This window comes from Homo sapiens, chromosome 14, assembly GCF_000001405.40.
Source record: "Homo sapiens chromosome 14, GRCh38.p14 Primary Assembly".
Taxonomy (NCBI): Eukaryota; Metazoa; Chordata; class Mammalia; order Primates; family Hominidae; genus Homo; species Homo sapiens.
In genome coordinates this window covers 92,114,622-92,133,888 of record NC_000014.9, presented here as the reverse complement: position 1 = coordinate 92,133,888, position 19,267 = coordinate 92,114,622, and the positions used below count along the sequence as shown (strand labels likewise).

Here is a 19,267-nt window from a genome sequence, read left to right as displayed (position 1 = left end):
GCTAAAATTATGATTACCTATGAATTTCAATTATTACTACCTGTGCTCTCCATAGCTACAAAAAATGTGGTATAAGGTACACTTAAATATATGGTGTGTACACACATTTTAAACAGAAAAGAAGGCCATGTGTGATGGCACACACCTGTAATCCCAGCACTTAGGGAGGCCAAGGCAGGCAAATCGTTTGAGCTCAGGAGTTCAAGATCAGCCTGGGCAACATGGCAAAACACCGTTCTCTATAAAAAATACAAAAAAAAAAAAAAGCCAGGGGTGGTGGCATGAGCCTGTAGTCCCAGCTACTTGAGGGGTGACATGGGAGGATCACTTGGGCACAGGAGGTTGACCTTGATGAGATCATGCCACTGCACTCCAGTCTGGGTGACAGAGTGAGACCCTGCCTAAAAATAAAAACAAGAACAAAAACAAAAAAGAACAGTAGACACAAGTAACTTGATTTTCTTTTTTTAGATGGAGTTTTGCTCTTGTTGCCCAGGCTGGAGTGCAATGACGCAATCTCCGGCTCACCACAACCTCTGCCTCCCAGGTTCAAGCGATTCTCCTGCCTCAGCCTCCCGAGTAGCTGGGATTACAGGCATGTGCCACCACTCCCAGCTTATTTTGTATTTTTGGTAGAGATGGGGTTTCTCTATGTTGGTTAGGGTGGTCTCGAACTCCCAACCTCAGGTGATCCGCCCACCTCGGCCTCCCAAAGTGCTGAGATTACAGGGGTGAGCCACCACGCCCGGCCATAAGTTGATTTTTAATAGCTATCCTGCATACTATTTTTTTTCTTTTGGAGATGTAGTCTCGCTCTGTTGCCCAGGCTGGAGTGCACTGGCGCAACCTCGGCTCACTGCGACCTCCACCGCCCGGTTCAAGCAACTCTCCTGCCTCAGCCTCCTGAGTAGCTGGGATTACAGGTGTCTACCACCACACCTGGCTAATTTTTTTATTTTTAGTAGAGACACACTTTCACCATGTTGGCCAGGCTGGTCTTAAACTCCTGACCTCAGGTGATCTGCCCTCCTCCACCTCCCAAAGTGCTGGGATTGCAGGCATGAGCCACCGCACCCAGCCTCACTTAACTCTTTTTGTTTTTTTTGTTTTTTTTTTGAGACGGAGTTTCACTCTTGTTGCCCAAGCTCTAATGCAATGGTGCGATCTTGGCTCACTGCAACCTCCGCCTCCCAGGTTCAAGTGATTCTCCTGCCTCAGCCTCCTGAGTAGCTGGGATTACAGGCATGCACCACCATGCCTGGCTAATCTTTGTAATTTTAGTAGAGATGGGGTTTCACCATCTTGGTCAGGCTGGTCTCGAACTCCTGACCTCAAGTGATCTGCCCGCCTCGGCCTCCCAAAGTGCTGGGATTACCGGCATTAGCCACTGTGCCTGGTCGCAAACTATTAATTTAAGTTCAAGAACTCAGCTTAGAATTTCAGAAATTATTATTGGCTGGGCATGGTGGTTCAGGCCTGTAATCCCAGCACTTTGGGAGGCCGAGGTAGGTGGATCGCCTGAGGTCAGGAGTTCGGGACCAGTCTGGCTAATATGGTGAAACCCTGTTTCTACTAAAAATACAAAAACTTAGCCGGCCGGGTGGTGCATGCCTGTAATCTCAGCTACTTGGGAGGCTGAGGAAGGAGAATAACTTGAACCCTGGAGGCGGAAGTTGCAGTGAGCCAAAAGCACGCCATTGCACTCCAGCTTGGGCAACAGAAGTGAAACTCCATCTCAAAAAAAAATAATAATAAAAGAGAAGAATTTCAGAAATTATTAAGGAGAGGATATTTATATGGCCACATACTTATAATGGATTTTTGTCCCAGCTTTTTCGCATAGTAACCACAGACAGTTTTGCTAATTGAATAGTAAAACTTCAGTTAATCAGGGAAGCATATGTTCTCATCAACACAAGAAATTAATAAAATGGTTTGGATTTTTTTTCTCAAGTTCTAAAGTTTTTTAAATATTTAAGTCCTCTTTTCTTGCAAAATTAGTATAATACTGCAAACATCATTGACTTTTTATTTTATCTTATTTTTTTTTTGAAACAGAGTCTTGCTTTGCGCCCAGGCTGGAGTGTAGTGGTACGATCTCGGCTCAGTGCAATCTCTGCCTCCTGGGTTCAAGCAATTCTCCTGCCTCAGCCTCCCAAGTAGCTGGGATTATAGGTGCACACCATCACACCCGGCTAATTTTTGTATTTTTAGTAGAGTTGGAGTTTCACCATGTTGGCCAGGCTGGTCTCGAACTCCTGAACTCAAGTGATCTGCCCACCTCAGCCTCCTAAAGTACTGGGATTGCCAGCGTGAGCCACTGTGCCCAGCCCATAATTGATTTTTTTTTTGATGAATCAGTATCTCATGGTCATTCTGAGAACCAGCTGACAATGTTAAGCATCAAAAGATGTAGAAAGTAAGCTAATGTGATCTGACCACAGAACTTTCACATGGAAAATGTTTCCTCTTCTCAAATTCTTATGTATTCTTGTTCTTTCCAAAAATTAGCATGCAAAAGTTTCTACTGAAATCCATTAGCTTAAGATTTTGCTGAATTTCAACAAGCAAAGCTTATAAGTCAATCAAAACTTTACAAGTTAAAATGTCACTATAGGTTTTTGGCATAAGTAAAATTAAGCCTTTTGCTATAAACTAGTGTAAAAAGGCAGTATTTATCACATCGAAATGGTATTACAGTACAGAAAAGAGAAGTTGATTTAATAAAAACATAGAATTATGAAATGTAACTTACTTCCTCAGGGAATCAATAATATCCATAGAAAAGTGCTCATCCCAGCCACAGTCCAATAAAAATCTAAACTCATCAACTTGGAGAAGATAGCAAAGGGCAGATTCTTCTTGGACCCCAGAAAGGGTAGTTAATTTGATAATAGACGTCATTTTTTTTGGTCCAGAAACAGCAAGCTAGAAGAGTCTTTCAAATGAAATGAAAACATAATTAAACATAAAAGCACAGTCTGGCATATATAATAAACAAATTGATTAAAATTATTTCAAATCTTTAAGTGCATAGAAATTCCATTAACACGAAAAGCAGTTTAAAGGCCCATTTCCATCATTGCCAAGTTTACTTTTTTTTTTTAAGTGAAAGCAAGTTTATTAAGTCACTGCCAAGTTTAAAAGCACAAAGATAATCTTAGACACAATGAGCCCTTTAGTGGCTCCCTAGTGGGGTAGTGAATGTTGCAATCAAATAGACCCATATATGAATCTACTTCTATGTGATTTGAAGCAAGTTAATTAAACTTTCCTCACCTATGTATCTCAGTCTATAAAACATTAGTATTAGTATACATGTAAAAACAATGTTGAAGTATTTCAAATAATGTATAAATTACCTATAACAGATACTACTGCATCCAAGTTCCTCAATAAATAAATGTTTAGGAATTAATGAACTCATCCTTCAAGGTGAATCTCTTCCTCTTTTATCTTGCTTTGTGATGGCACTGATTTCACTGTATTACAATGATTAGTTTACATGTCTTTCTCTCCCATTAATTAGACCAGTGGTCCTTAAATAGATCCCCTTGAGAATCTGATAAAAACCTATGGACCCTCCCCCTCCCCCACCAACTCTCAACACACTCAAACAAAAAACAAGAGTACATATACACGTAGAAATTCACAAACTTTTCAGGGAGTTTAACATTAAGAACCCTTGCATTGGAATGTGAGCAACTGAAAAACATAGGTGGCATATGTTTGCAACTCCCTAAATAGAACCTGATGCACGCTTCAACATATATCTGATGAAATGCAAATTGGGATGCCTACTACATATATTTCAGGAAAATATAACATGAACACATCTACAGGCCAGGCACGGTGGCTCACGCCTGTGATCCCAGCACTTTGGGAAGCCGAGGCAGGAAGACTGCTAGAGTTCAGGAGTTTGAGACCAGCCTAGGCAATGTAGTGAGACCCTGTCTCTACAAAAAAAAAATATAAGAAAACTGGCTGGTGGCATGTACCTGTAGTCCTAGCTACTCAGAAGGCCAAGATGAGAGAATTGCTTGAGCCCAGGAGTCCGAGGTTACTGTGAGCTATGAGTGCGCCACTAGACTGGGCACAGAGTGAGACCCTAGAGTGTACCCTAGACTGGGCAACAAAGTGAGACTTTGTATCTAAAAAATAAATAAAATAAAATATATACATTTTTTAAAAATGGGATTTAGAACCTGGAACTGTGTGCTATTAAGCAGAAGTTATGAAAATATTCATTAGCAAAGTTCAACTCCACAGCAACATTTCAGATTTTAGCTCCCTAAAATAAATGAGCTTTTCCTGGCTAACTATGCAAGTAGGAGAGAAGGCCACCGAGTTACCTAATAATTTCTTACCACTACTCAAGGCCATCAACAAACTAAGGTAAACTGAATATCCACCTTTCATAAGAGGCTGACAGGGGCTGCTAAACCCACCACATCTCCCAGCCTTGTTTATCTGAGTGACAGCCAAAATCACAAGACTGCTAGGTTATCAATTATCAACGATGTGTACGTCTCCCAGTAAGACCTAATCCCCTACCTCTTCTCCCTCTCAAATCCTTTCAGGATGCTCTCTGGAACTGTGATCATACTCACCTGTAACTGCAACTGCTTCTCTGAAAATTCTCTTCACCTGCTTGTCTTCCCAGGTACCTGGCTGTTCCCTCATCATACTCTTCCTCTTACGGCCTTCTCAAGGTTTTTTGTTGTTGTTGTTTTAACTTCTTGTACCCCCTGTACTTGAAAAGCAGGAGGTATGTGTTCCTTGCTCCTCACTGCAGCTTCTAAACCATGTCTTCTCTTTCCTCTTTCAAATAGTCTAGTCCCATTAAAGCTCTTGCCACCCAGCAGTTCACTATTAGTCTTCCACATTTCCTCTTCACTATGGCATCTATTCACCTGGCCTCATTCACTGAGGACTTTTACATGACCCGTTGTTCCTCTCAGTAACTTCAATACTGACCTGTTGGTTCCTTGACTTCCTCAACTCCAATAATCATTTCACTTCAGCCACCCACCACTACGATTACACCCTAGACCTTATCACTACCAGTAACTGTTCTACTTTCAAAATTTCACTTCAAGCATCTCATTCTCTAACACCTTACTTACTCTAGTATTCCCATTGCAAAAATCCTCTGGGGTCAGTGGTATCTCTCTAATTCGCTGACTACTTTTTCCCTATCCATGACCCCCTCCTGTTTTTACTCAGGTCCTCACCTTCAATTCATGATCTGTTAACATTATTTGCAAACACTCAAATGTCTTGCTCCTCTAGGTACTTCTCTCTACTAGGCTGGCAAAACCCCAGTCCTGATTAACTCCAATCATGCAGGGCCGGCGGGGGGATGGGATATGGAGGAGAATTACAGCTGTGCTATTTGCTTTTTTTTGAGACGGAGTCTCACTCTGTTGCCAGGCTGGAGTGCAGTGTCACGATCTTGGCTCACTGCCACCTCCATCTCCCGGGTTCAAGTGATTCTCCTGCCTCAGCCACCTGAGTAGCTGGGACTACAGGCATGCACCACCACGCCCAGCTAATTCTTTTTGGTAGAGACGGAGTTTCACCATGTTGGCCACAATAGTCTCGATCTCTTGACCTCATGATCCACCTGGCCCATTTTTTTTCTTTTTTTTTTGAGACAGAGTTTCACTCTTGTCACCCAGGCTGGTATACAGTGGCAAGATCTCAGCTCACTGCAACCTCCACCTCCTGGGTTCAAGTATTTCTCCTGCCTCAGCCTCCCGAGTAGCTGGGATTACAGGCACCTGCCACCACACCTGGCTAACGCTATTTGCTCTTTAAATTCATGGCCAAAGGCCTCAAACAGGCCGTAAGTATTACCCTTCAATCTGACTTTTCTTAGTAGGTTGACTTTCAGTTTCTGAGACTACTACTCCACACCTCCTCCTCTTTGTTCAAAGATCACCCATCCCTCCCTCCACCCTAGTCTCAGCTGATAATCTCATTTCATTCTTCAATCAGAAAATAAAATTAGACAATAATTTCTCATTTTCCAGATACTACATCTATTAACCTATCTGCATGTACACTGTTGGGTCTCCTGTTGTATAGAATAGTCCTGCTCCCATCCAAGGCCAATCCCTCTATGTGTGCCGTTGATCCCATTCTTATTCACCTTCTGAAAGACTTGACATCTTCAGTCATTCGCTCTTTCCCCTGCATCAACGTATCACTGATGTACCATTCCCACAAGCTTATAAAAATACTCTAGAATTTCCCAACTTATAAGAACCCTCTCTTAACCCTTCAACCCCCAACAACCACTACATCATTTTTGGGTTTCCCTTTCACAGCAAAAGTTCTCAGAATATTTGTCCACAGATATATCTCCACTTCCTCACCTCCCATTTGCACTAAGTCTGAGAAGCCAGAGAAATGTCCATTGGCTTAAGTTGTATAGAGGTTTATCAATGACCTTTATAAAACACTTCCAGTGATATACTTTCATAACAACTCATTATATTTCTCAAATTTTCTTCTCTCTTCACTGTGACCAAAACCTCTAACTTTTATATATATTTTCCCTGTCTCTAATTTATTCTGAGTCATTCTCAGAGGTAGTCATTCTCTGACCACCCTAAAGTCCTTCTTCACATCCATTACAACATCATTCTATTTCCCTCAAAATACTTAGTGCTCTCTAATTGCTACTTATTTATTTACTTGCTTTGTCTGTCACCTTCTCCCCTCCTGTGCCCACACTGGAATGCAGACTCCATGAAGGTAAAGACCTTCTCTGTTTTCATCACAGTTACATTCCAGCGCCTCCACAGTGCCTAATATACAGTGGTAGCCGATAAATGTTTCTTAAAGGAAGGAATGGGGCATGGCTAGTATTAAATAAGCTCACTGTCCTTACCACACCATAAACCAGAACCCATCCACATGTATTTGCCCTTGCTTGGGAGAGCTCTCTGAGTACAGGAGTTGGCTTGATCCATTTTTTTATCCTTAGTACATTAGCACATCCCTGCACATAGTGGTTGTTCAATAAATAACTGTTGGTAAGTTAAAATTTAAAATATATTGACTTGTTTTTGTTTCCTGAAACAGGATCTTGCTCTGGTACCCAGGCTGGAGTGCAGTGGTGCAATCATGGCTCATTTGCAGCTTCAACCTCCTGGGCTCAAGTGATCCTCCCACCTCAGCCTCCTGGGTAGCTGGGACTACGGGCACGCACCACCACACTCGGCTAATTTTTTGTAGAGACAGGGTTTCACTATGTTGCCCAGGCTGGTCTTTAACTCCTGGGCTCAAGTGATCCACCCACCTTGGCCTCCCCAAATGCTGGAATTACAGGTGTGAGACAGCACGCCTGGCCTTCATGTGTTCTTATTTGGGGTACAAAGACATTAATTCTCTATTTGATGAAAAACGTTTATAAATACAATTTTGGAAAGGACCTTGGAAATTATCCCTGTCAAAAAGCTTACTGTACCACAATTATATTAATGGCCTAAGGGAAACTCTTTTCTACTTAAGTCTTCCTTAATTCCCACTTTCTTCATTTAGATTATGAAGTAACATGCAAGGTATCTTGCAGCTAGAACTGAGTAAGTTCATATTAAAACTGTTTTGCAGACAGACCAAGATTTCAACAGATGAAAAGATATTTTCACTACAATTATTCATAATAAAGCTATATCTTTATCAAACATTCACTACTTACTGATATCTTAGTCGTATATATGATGAAACACCAGGAATTCTGAAGAGTTCTTTATTAATCTAAAAAATAAATAAAAGCCTTATGAATGTGGTATTATGATTTCATTCTGTTTATAATTATGGTGTTTAATTTGTATCTTGCCCTAAGGCATCAGGAGCAGCAGCAAGTAGTATAATACGTGGTCCTTTTTTAAAAAAGAGATCTGTCATTAATTTTAGGAATCTTAAGCTTACATAACAGATAATAAAAGACATAAAAATATTTAGGAAGTTTTTTTTTAAGTTGACATTACCTTATGTTATTGAGAATCATAGAAGAGGTGGGATTTAAGATTACTCACTAAGGATTGGTAAGACATGGGTAGAAACAAAGAGAAGGTACTCAAAACAGAGGAGTAACAGGAGTAAAGGAATACCAGACATCTCAGATCTCTACACTTTTGAGTAAGTTTTAAAGTACCAGTGAAAAAACTAGCCTGGAAAACATTCACAAAAGCAAAAAATAAAAGATAAGGCCTAATGAACAGAAAGGGGCCAGATAGTGAAAGGCCTTGGAAACTGTGAACCTAGTCCTGCAGGCAACAGAAACATTTTAAGACTCATTATCAAGTAGAAAGATGGCATGATACAGGTAATTCTGTATTTTGGGGATATTAGCTGGTGTGTATGATTGATGAGATGATACAGAAAGCAGGGAGATAAAAAGCGAAAGTATTTAGTGGACCACCCCTTCCTAACGTTACTGATTCTATCTTGTGACCAAATTTCTTCAGTCTCAAATTGTATTTTATAGCTCTGCGACATGAATATATTAGTTGTTATCTAAGTAACCAAGGTTTGAAATGCTACATGCTGATTCTTCACTTCTGGGACAGTCTATTATTACCAGTTCCTGATTATTCTTCCCTCAGGAACGCTTTGCACATCATTCCCTTTCTATCCCACTGCCAGTACCCTAATACAGGAAGGGCCTCACTACCTTATGTTTGGGTTTCTCAGTTTCTCTGCCTCCAGTATTTCCTCCCTTCATCCAACCTAAACATTGCTACCAGATTCATCTTCAGAAATACCCTGCACCTATTACCCCTTGCTCAGAAATCTCTGAAGGCTTCTTACTGCTTGAGAAAAGACAAACCAAATGCCTTAACTGGCAATGGAGGTTGCCAGGAAGCCACCCTGACATCACTGCTCAATGTCTTCAGGCCCAGCTCATGTTCCACCTCCTTACAAATTCCCACATCTAGTCTAGACTAGAACAGCTCTGTCAACAGACATATAATGCGTGCCACAAATGTACTTTTTAATTTCTTCATGGCCACATGGAAAAGTGAAAAAGAAACGGGTGAATTTTAATGAATTTTATTTAACCCAATAGAACCAAAATATTATTTCAACATGTAATCATGTTGAATATTTTACATTTTCATATTAAATCTTCAAAATCCACTGTGTATTTTATATTTACAGCACATTTCAAATAGACTAACGACATCTGAAGTGCTCAATAGCTACATGTGGCTAGTGACTACCATAACAGTGCAGATCTAGACTCCAGACCATAAAAACCAATGCTTTACACTATAGAGCATCATGTTGTCACCCCTAAAGTGCAGGTTGGCACCATCCTATGTTTATGTACATGTCTCAGACTAAGTTTTAATAGTATTGCCAACCATTTACTCTCCCAGACTAAAAACTCAAGTCACCTTCTTACCATTAACTTAGCAGTCAGCAGGTGAATCCCATTTGACATTTACTTAGTGTCTCTCTGACCTCCTTTATGTCCTGCCTCCATGGAGGCCCTCATTGCCTTACCTGAATGATTGCCCATTTCCTTTCATCTAGTTTTTCTGTTCCCAGTTGATCCTCCATATAGCTGTCAGAGACCATCCTAAAAAAACAAATATCCTCCTGCTCACTCCTTGCACAAAATATCCACTGGATTCCTGGTAACTACTGAAAAAAATCTAAACTCCCTATTGGAAACCAAGATCCTTCACAAGCTGATCTTAACCTACCTCTTGCTTCACCAATCACTCGTGCACTAAATGCTCAGGCAGGTTGATTATCCCACTCTCCCTAAGTATGCTAAAGCTTCTCAAAGCTCTGTATTCCTGTACTGAATCCCGAAATTACCTTCTCCTTTTGAGCTCAGCAAATTCCTTTTGATGCTATATGACCCAGCTCACATATTTACTCCTTTATAAAGCCTTTTTGTTGCCCTAGGCAAAGTTAGTTATTTTGTTATAAAGGAGGCACATAAAGTATTTGTTGAATGGATGTTCAATGTATAGAGGAGTAAAAGTGATCATCTTTGTATATCCAATACCAACTTCAGTGGTCAAGGCAGCATAAATGGGTACTGCAAGAAGGAATGAAGCCTCATCATATCATAAATTCCTTCAGAGCACTGGTTTTGACAGATACTACTTCATCGCAAATATCTCACAGTTACTTGCCCTCTTAATAATAATCGTGCATGTTGCCGGGCGCAGTGGCTTGCGCCTTTAATCTCAACACTTTGGGAGGCCGAGGAGGGCAGATCACTTGAGCTCAGGAGTTCCAGACCAGCCTGGGCAATATGACAAAACCCCTTCTCTACTAAAAACACAAAAAAGTAGCCGGGCGCGGTGGCTGCGCTGGTGACCCCAGCTACTTGGGAGGCTGAGGTGGGAGGATTACTTGAGCCCAGGAGGCGGAAGTTGCAGTGAGCTGAGATGGCACCACTGCACTCCAGCCTGGGTGGACAGAGCGAGACCCGGTCTCAAATAATAAATCGGCCAGGCGCGGTGGCTCACGCCTGTAATCCCAGAACTTTGGGAGGCCGAGGCAGGCGGATAATCCTGGCCAACAAGGTGAAACCCTGTCTCTACTAAAGCTACAAAAATAGGTGGGCGTGGTGGTGCGCGCCTGTAGTCCCAGCTACTCGGGAGTCTGAGGCAGGAGAATCACTTGAACCCGGGAGGCAGAGGTTGCAGTGAGCCGAGAATCGTGCCACTGCACTCCAGCCTGGGCGACAGAGCGAGATTCCTTCTCAAAAATAAAAAATAATTACCGTGCATGTTGATGACAACTAAGGTGAACTAAGCAAAATCCAAGGGAAAACAGAGGAGTTTGGGTTAGCCCTGGAGCTCACTGAGTGGGGAAGGCTCTTCTCGGTCAGTTGAGGGAGAGCCCCAGTTTCATACTGGGGTTGCAAGGCCGGGCATGGTGGCTCACGCCTGGAATCCCAGCACAGGCCAAAATGGGAGGATCTCTTGAGCCCAGGAGTTCGACACCGGCCTGGGCAACATAGTGAAACCCCGTCTTTATTAAAAAAAAAAAAAAAGAAAGAAAAAAGAAAGGGGTTAAAGGGGTTGTAAAATTAAAAATTAGGGGATGGGTATAAATGATAGCTCAGGTTCGCCTGGTCACAGGAAGCCAGACTTGCCGGGGTTCAATCTGACCTCTTCTTTTCTAAAGAGCACGTAAAATAGTACGAAGTCAAAAAAGAATTAGAACTTCGCAGTGATAGTGGAAGCGCTGGAGGGCGATGGCGGGAGGGCGCGAAGGCCCAAGACCCTTTTAGTACAGTGTGGTACAAACAACCGAAAGGTCTCTGGAGTCGAAGAACTAAAAGGACGCCTAAGCGGTGTCCAGAGCTTAGCAACCTCGTGGTCTCTCAACCCAAAACGACGGGAAGAGCCCGAGCAGGGGAGGCTAAGAACGCCGTAGCCACGAAGCCAAGGAGCTAAAGCTGGCGTCGGTTTAACTCTTCCAGCGCCAAGAGATGAAAGGGGAAGCAGAGGGAAGCAGAAAGGAGGGAAGAAGATCCCGGGAGGGAACCGTACGGGCTGCCGCAAAACAGCTGGGAGCTTGAAACCCATGGAGAAGTCACTTCTCTTTCCCTCGCTGACCACTTCTGCCGGGAACGACCGGGACAGTCGCAGCCGAAGCGGCGGGGGCGAGTCCTCGGGGGAGACCGGGTCGGAGTCGGGGCCCCGTGCTCCCGGAGGGCCAATGACGCCGCCTTCCCCAGCCCGAGGCTCGCTCCTTTCTCCCGCCCTCACTTGCCTCGTCAGGCCTCCCCCAACGCCGTCCACAGCCCTTCCCAACCCCTAGGCGAATCCAGGTTCAAGACGTAGAAAAGCCGATGCTGGGTCAGCAGCGCCAGGGACTACCGGCCGGCAGAAGCCCCACAGTGGCAGCCGCCATTTTGGAGCTGGAGACTAGCGGCGGAGACGAGGAGGAACCAGGGCGAGACCATCTCCGGGGGGTGGGCACGGTGCTGTCGGAAGGCGACGGCGGTCACGCCTGCACGCCTCGTCTGTCTGGAGCGAAATTTTATTCAGAAATTATTGGTAATGTTTGGAAGCTAAAAAAAAAAAAAATGAGAGGAGTCAACCCTGAGGAGGAAAAAGTAGTATGATTTGCTGGCGTCACCCCTCTGCTCCGTGCGGGCGCGGCGAATGGCAGGTCCCGAGGTCGCAGCTTCCACTGGCGCGGGTTGAGTTCCCTGTTGCCCTTGGTCTCGGGGTCGCTGTAGGCGCTGAGGCTGCAGGTGGGTTTGGGGAGCCCGGGGGGCCGCCGCGACGAGGATCACGGCGACGGTGGCGGGGAGGGTTCTAGGCAAGCCCTCGGTGCTGTGCATGTGTGGAGGGGTGGTCTGGGCTTCCCCGGGGCTTCCGAACGAAGGTGACGGGAAAGGAAAATGGGGTTTTCTTCGGGTGGAGGATGGGATTTCCGGGCCGGAGCTTTTGGAAAGGGTTTTCTGAGGCTGTCATAACAGGAAAACGTCCGTAGAGATGTGACCCAGTGACCGCCCGCTAACCGGACTGGAGAGAAGACCGGCCCGGATCCCACGCCTGGCCTGAAGCAGGGAAGACGCTGCCTCCCCTCCGCGAGCAGCTTACATTCGTCCAAGTTCCAGCCTTCTGTCTTCTCGCTAACCTCGCTCTCTTCCAAATCGCAAATCCTCTTGAGCCGACACCGTTGCGCCTAAATGATGTGCTTACCCTTTTACTTTGCTTTTTTATTTTTGAGACAGAGATTCACTCTTGTCACCCAGGCTGGAGTGCAATGGTGCAATCTCGGCTCACTCCAACCTCCGCCTCCCGGGTTCAAGCGATTCTCCCGTCTCAGCAGCCCAAGTAGCTGGGATTACAGGCGCCCGCCACCACACCCGGCTAATTTTTTGTATATTTAGTAGAGACGAGGGTTTCACTATGTTGGCCAGGCTGGTCTCGAACTCCTGATCTCGTGATCCACCCGCCTCAGCATCCCAAAGTGCTGGGATTACAGGCGTGAGCCACTGCACCTGGCCCACCTTGCCTTTTAAAAGACAAAAGTATGGCCAGGCTTAGTGGCTCACGCCTGTAATCCCAACACTTTGGAAGGCCGAGGTGGCCGGATCAAGAGGTCAGGAGTTTGAGACCAGCCCGGCCAACAGTGAAACCCCATCTCTACTTAAAAATACAAAAATTAGCCGGGCGTGGTGGCACCTGCCTATAGTCCCAGCTACTCGGAAGGCTGAGGCAAGAAAATCACTTGAACGGCCGGGCGCGGTGGCTCACGCCTGTAATCCCAGCACTTTGGGAGGCCTAGGCGGGCGGACCACCTGAGGTTGGGAATTCAAGACCAGCCTGACCAACATGGAGAAACCTCGTCTCTACCAAAAATACAAAATTAGCTGGGCATGGTGGCGCATACCTGTAATCCCAGCTACTTGGGAGGCTGAGGTAGGAGAATCCCTTGAATCCGAGAGGCAGAGGTTGCTGTGAGCCAAGATTGCGCCATTGCACTCCGGCCTAGGCAACAAGAGCGAAACTTCGTCTCAAAATAAAAAAAAAAAAAGGAAAGAAAAAAGTATGAATTGTATAAGCATGCCAGTGTAAGAGGAGAGGCAGAAATTCAGTCTACATAGTCCTAGCACAGCTTAGTGCTAAGCACTTTTGTTGGCAATAATGTATTGTCTTTCTAGGATGTTGTCATATGTCTTCTTAGTCATTGTACATGATTTATTAGTTTAGTCCAAACGCACACAGGTGTATTTTGAATTCATCTGTATGCACGAATTTTTACAGAAAATTGGCAATCCAACTATGTTTTTATTGAATTGTGCAATTTATTTTCCACATGATGTCTATTACAGGTTCAGTATCCCTGATCAGAATGTTGGAAATCCAAAATGCCCCCATATGTGAAACTTGGGGCCACAAGTTTGAGACCAGCCTGGGCAACATAGCAAGATCTTGTCTCTACAAAAAAAAATGTTTAAAGAATTTTTTTAAATTAGCACCCGTAGCTCCAGCTTCTCAGAAGATTGAGGTGGGAAGATCACTTGAGCTCAGGAGTTCAAGACTGCAGTGGACTATTATAACTCCACTGCACTCCATCCTAGGTGACAGAGCGAGACTATTTAAAAAAAAAAAAAAGTTTCATATAAGATTACCTTCAGGCTATGTGTATAAGGTATATATAAAACACAAATGAATTTTATGTTTTAATTCGGTCCTATCCCCAAGATAGCTCATTATGTGCATGCAAATATTTCAAAATCAAAAAATCGAAAACACTTCGGGTCCCAAGCATTTCGGATAAGGAAAAACCTATAGTTCTATTCCTCCTCATCTACCTTCTGGAAACTCAGCATTTAAAAGCTTTTAAGTACCATAAACATCAATTCAGGAAGGGGTTTCTTAGGCATGGGCTATAATAGCAGCCAGAGCTGTAGAGTGAAGCTGAATTTGAACTCCAGCTCTGTACTTAATAGCTATTTGGATTAAGCTGTTTTCTTATCTGTAAAATGTAAATAATAGTTATTTCACATTACGTATAGAAATAGATGATGGCTCTGGTACCTAGTAACCTAGTAGTCTTTTTTTTTTTTTTGAGACAGCATCACGCTCTGTCGTCCAGGCTAGAGTACAGTGGTGTGATCTCAGGTCATTGCAACCTCCGTCTCTTGGGCTCAAGCAATCCTCCCACCTCAGCCTCCGAAGTAGCTGGGACTACAGGCATATACTACCACACCCAGCTAATTTTTTGATTTTTTGTAGAGACAGGGTTTTGCCATGTTAACCAGGCTAGTCTCAAGCTCCTAGGCTCAAGCGATCCATCCGCCTTAGTCTCCCAAAGTGCTGTGGTTACAGGCATGAGCCACCTAGTAGTCACTCTATAAAAGTAAATTTTCTTCTCCCTTTGCCTTTTTTTTTCTTTCTTTTTTTTCTGAGACAGAGACTCGCTGTATCCCCCAGGCTGGAGTGTAGTGGCGTCATCTCAGCTCACTGCAACCTCTGCCTCCCGAGTTCAAGCAATTCTCCTGCCTCAGCCTCCTGAGTAACTGGGACTACAGGCATGTGCCACTACGCCCACCTAATTTTTGTATTTTTAGTAGAGATGGAGTTTCACCATGTTGGCCAGGCTGGTCTCGAACTCCTGACCTTGTTGTCGTCCACCCGCCTCAGCCTCCCAAAGTGCTGGGATTACAGGCGTGAGCCACTACACCCGGCCCCTTTACCTTTTTTAGAGTAATTTATATTCATATCTACAGTGACATTATTGAATATAGTTTTCTTTTTTCTCTCATATCTTTTAATTTCCTTTCTAAATTTAGTTTTCAGTAATTACAGCTTTACCTAAAGAATTCCATTTCTGGCAAAATTGTATTAAATTTGTTTTTGCATTGTGAGAGGTTCTAAATATGTTTTACACAAGTAAAAGTCCTAAATGAGAGCCAGGTGCAGTGGTGTATGCCTGTAGTCCCAGCTACTTGGGAGGCTGAGGCAGGAGGAATGCTTGAGCCCGGGAGTTGAGAGCTGTAGTGCCTGTGAATAGCCACTGCCCTCCAGCCTGGGCAACATAGCAAGACCTTGTCTCTTTTACAAAAAAAAGTTCCAAAACAACATGAGGAGGGTGCAAACAATCAGCTGTTGCAGGTAGAATTTTTTTACATACCATCTCTGTTTCTCTGCTCTGTATCGTATCACATCACTATTGAAGCTAGTAGTAAAATGTAATAAATAGACCCAGTGTGGTGTAATTTTATATTAATCATTGTCCCGTATGTAATCTTCATCAATTAGATTTTAAAGTATTATACTACATTCTGATGCCAGGCAAACAAAGAGGCGTATTAGGCTTTTAACATCTATTACATCTATGTCTATCATCTTCTTGTTTCAGATGCAATTTATTTATTTTATTGAGATGGAGTCTTGCTCTGTCGCCCAGGCTGAAGTACAGTGGCACGATCTTGGCTCACTGCAACCTCCGCCTCCTGGGTTCAAGCAATTCTCCTGCCTCAGCCTCTCCAGTAGCTGGGATAACAGACGCGCACCACCACACCCGGCTAATTTTTGTGCTTTTAGTAGAAATGGGGTTTTGCCATGTTGGCCAGGCTGGTCTCGAACTCCTAATCTCAAGTGATCTGCCCACCTCAGCATCCCAAAGTGCTAGGATTACAGGCATGAACCACCGCACCTGGCCCAGATGCAATTTAAAAGCTATTTCAAAAAAAAAACAAAGCAGTTGTATTTCTGATAATTTTTTTTTCTTTTAGCTATCATGGTGAACTTACTTCAGATTGTGCGGGACCACTGGGTTCATGTTCTTGTCCCTATGGGATTTGTCATTGGATGTTATTTAGACAGAAAGAGTGATGAACGGCTAACTGCCTTCCGGAACAAGAGTATGTTATTTAAAAGGTTAGTCTGCATTTTTTTAAACCAGCAATTGGCCAAATTTGGGGAATATTCTTTTTGATATGTGCCAAAAATAAACAGAAGGGGTAATTTTTCCCCCTTGAGGACTTAGATTCAAATGATACTGTTTTTAGTCTTGTTTGTTATTGAATCCTTGGATAAAACAGTATGATTACCTCTAGAATTTAAAGTCTTCATTTAATGAATAGGCTGTTTCAGGTCTTTGAAAGTATCGTCTTTTTTTAATTCAAAGTGCATTTTAATATAGAAACAGTTTAAAAGTAGCTGGCCAAAACCTAGCTTATATACAGCTTCCACATATATTGTCATATATTATCTTACTTAAGACATGCTATAGCTGAGATAAATAGTAATAACAGCAGCTAGGTGCTGTGTTCTTAGCAGCACTACCTGAGAGCTTTAGACCTGGTGGTAGAGTGATAGCAACTGGCAGCTGCCTGGTCCCATTGTGCCTCTAGAGATGGCTCCTCTGGCAGCAGAGAGTTCCAGTTAGCAAGACAGGATGCCTGCCAGTGGGCATACAGCTGGGTAGGAGGAAGCCTGAGGGGCAAGAGAACTGAGCAGCATCCACAGTGGGTATGGAGAGATGGTAGAAGTGATTCACAAATCAGGGATTTCAAGAAAGAAAATAAGCTGGAAAGGGTTTAGAAAACATTTCGAATGAACTCACTGAGCAGAGATAATAGCTTTCATATAAAGATAAACTAAGTAATTACAATTCTTTAACCCAGAAAAATGAAGCTAACAATATGGTAAAAGTTAAAATCATGAATGAAAAGAATACATATGATGAATCTAATATGTAAATTTTTTAAATGGATCGGTGTAATAGAAAATAAAATATTGACCGGGCGCGGTGGCTCACACCTGTAATCCTAGCACTTTGGGAGGCCGAGGCAGGTGGATTCCTTGAGGTCAGGAGTTCGAGACCAGCCTGGCCAACATGGTGAAACCCCGTCTCTACCAAAAATATAAAAAATTAGCTCGGTGTGGTGGCACACAGCTGTAATCCCAGCTACTTGGGAGGGTGAGGCAGGATAATCGCTTGAAGCCAGGAGGTGGAGTTTGCAGTGAGCCAAGATCGTGCCACTGCACTCCAGCCTGGGCTACAAAGCCAGACTTCGTCTCAAAAAAAAAAAAAAAAAAAAGAAAATGAAATATTGCAATCATTCTTCTGACTTCCCCTTTTATCTCGTATCACAGTTTTATTTACAGTTTTTCCATTTCTTCCTTTTTTGCTTTCCACACAGGGAATTGCAACCCAGTGAAGAAGTTACCTGGAAGTAAAGACTGGCTAGATTATCGAATGTTCACATTTTAAAGTTCTGAGAGAAATAAAAACATGAAGAATCTGAAATGTCTTTCTTTTCATACAAAGGTAGCCCTTCTGGTAACAAGCATACTTAAAAAATAATTATTAGGGCCCAGCGCGGTGGCTCACACCTGTAATCCCAACACTTTGGGAGGCTGAGGCAGGCAGATCACCTGAGGTCAGGAATTCCAGACCAGCCTGACCAACATGGTGAAACCCCGTCTCTACTAAAAATACAAAAAATTAGCCGGGTATGGTGGTGCATACCTGTCCTGTCAGGCAACAGAGTGAGACTCCATCTCAAAAATAAATAATAAATAAAATAATAACTCTTAGGTACCTGATTGTATACCGTGGTATTAAATTTATAATTAGCATTTAATTTGCTGTTTCTCATTTTGAACCACAGTATTATTAAATCATGGAGCAAATTTTTTATCATATATTTTTCAAAAAAAATTTCAAACCTTGTGCTTCAACGGGACTTAAAAAGGATGATGCCAAGATTTTATTTGATAAAAATCACATACTGAAAATTTTAAGTGACCTTAGCTTTGGCAAAGCTTTTTCCTTTTTCCAAATGTAGGATACACACAGGAAGCAAGGATTTTTAAAATACAACACACAAAACATGAATTAATTTAAAAAATAAGTTGTACTTTATCAAAATTTAAAATTTTGCTCTTCGAAAAACACATCCAGAATATGTAAACAATCCTTATAGCTTAAGAATAAACAACCTAACTTTTTTTTTTCTGAGACGGAGTCTTGCTACGTCGCCCAGGCTGGAGTGCAGTGGTGTGATCTGCAAGCTCCGCCTCTTGGGTTCCCACCATTCTCCTGCCTCAGCCTCCCGAGTAACTGGGACTACAGGTGCCTGCCACCACACCTAGCGAATTTTTTGTATTTTTAGTAGAGACTGGGTTTCACCATGTTAGCCAGGATGGTCTCGATCTCCTGACCTCGTGATCCACCTCAGCCTCCCAAAGTGCTGGGATTACAGGCGTGAGCCACTGCACCCACCTTCAACAACTTAACTTTTTAAATGGGCAAAAGATTTTAACAAACACTGCCAAAAGAGATAAGAGGATGGCAAGTAAGCACATGAAAAGATACTCAACATTAGTAGTCACTAGAGAAATGGAAATTAACAGCAAAATGAGATGGCACTACACACCTATTAAATGGTTAAAATTAGGCTGGCTCACGCCTGTAATCTCAACACTTTGGGAGGCTGAGGCGGGTAGATCACCTGAGCTCAGGAATTCAAGACCAGCCTGACCAACCTGGTGAAACCCCGTCTCTACTAAAAATACAAAATTAGCCGGGTGTGGTGGTGCATGTCCGTAATCCCAGCTACTTGGGAGGCTGAGGGAGGAGAATCACTTGAACCCCAGGAGCGGAGGTTGCAGTGAGCCAAGATCATGCCATTGCACTCCAACCTGGGCAATAAGAGCAAAACTCCGTCTCAAAAAATAGATTTAAATAAGTAAAAATAAAACGGTTAAAATTTGAAAGACTGACTACCAATTGTTGGCAAGGATGT

The 19,267-nt window shown here is 43.2% G+C and overlaps 2 protein-coding genes across 6 annotated transcripts in view, besides 2 other annotated features; one reads left to right on the top strand and one right to left on the bottom strand.

Moving 5' to 3' along the window:
* The window catches only part of CPSF2 (cleavage and polyadenylation specific factor 2), a 50,177-nt gene extending 38,257 nt beyond the window's left edge, over positions 1 to 11,920 (bottom strand). For 3 of the 4 annotated variants that reach the window (NM_017437.3, NM_001322270.2, NM_001322271.2), the window contains exons 1-3: positions 11,761 to 11,920; positions 7,709 to 7,767; positions 2,756 to 2,938 (exon numbers count right to left, since the gene is read on the bottom strand). In NM_017437.3, the coding sequence (NP_059133.1) occupies positions 2,756 to 2,904 (149 nt within the window). In that variant the 5' untranslated portion in view covers positions 2,905 to 2,938; positions 7,709 to 7,767; positions 11,761 to 11,920. Of the gene's footprint in view, positions 1 to 2,755; positions 2,939 to 7,708; positions 7,768 to 11,537 lie in introns of all 4 variants that reach the window. The other variant, NM_001322272.2, reaches the window with a different exon arrangement.
* Positions 11,823 to 12,182: an enhancer, noted in NCBI's record as "active region_8927". NCBI's record gives its function as "activates an Ori minimal core promoter by ATAC-STARR-seq in GM12878 lymphoblastoid cells {active_cell/tissue: GM12878}" and the evidence as "EXISTENCE:reporter gene assay evidence [ECO:0000049][PMID:35858748]".
* Positions 12,183 to 17,766, top strand: NDUFB1 (NADH:ubiquinone oxidoreductase subunit B1). 2 transcript variants are annotated; one of them, XM_047431421.1, is made up of 4 exons: positions 12,183 to 12,247; positions 12,490 to 12,693; positions 16,247 to 16,391; positions 17,660 to 17,766. In XM_047431421.1, the coding sequence occupies exons 3-4, from the start codon at positions 16,252 to 16,254 to the stop codon at positions 17,694 to 17,696; spliced, it is 177 nt and encodes a 58-aa protein (XP_047287377.1). In that variant the 5' UTR covers positions 12,183 to 12,247; positions 12,490 to 12,693; positions 16,247 to 16,251; the 3' UTR covers positions 17,697 to 17,766. The 2 variants fall into 2 exon arrangements, with proteins under 2 accessions (XP_047287377.1, NP_004536.3); NM_004545.4 differs by lacking the exon at positions 12,490 to 12,693.
* Positions 12,763 to 13,752: an enhancer, noted in NCBI's record as "H3K27ac-H3K4me1 hESC enhancer chr14:92586481-92587470 (GRCh37/hg19 assembly coordinates)". NCBI's record gives its function as "activates a minimal SCP1, AML or CMV promoter by ChIP-STARR-seq in naive H9 embryonic stem cells {active_cell/tissue: H9 hESC(naive)}" and the evidence as "EXISTENCE:reporter gene assay evidence [ECO:0000049][PMID:30033119]".
* Positions 17,767 to 19,267: the final 1,501 nt, after the last annotated feature.

Coding starts and splice junctions, on each gene's coding strand:
- NDUFB1 (NM_004545.4), top strand. CDS start 16,252: ATGGTGAACTTACTTCAGATTGTGCGGGACCACTGGGTTCATGTTCTT. Junction 16,392..17,659: donor AAGAGTATGTTATTTAAAAG/GTTAGTCTGCAT, acceptor CTTTCCACACAG/GGAATTGCAACCCAGTGAAG.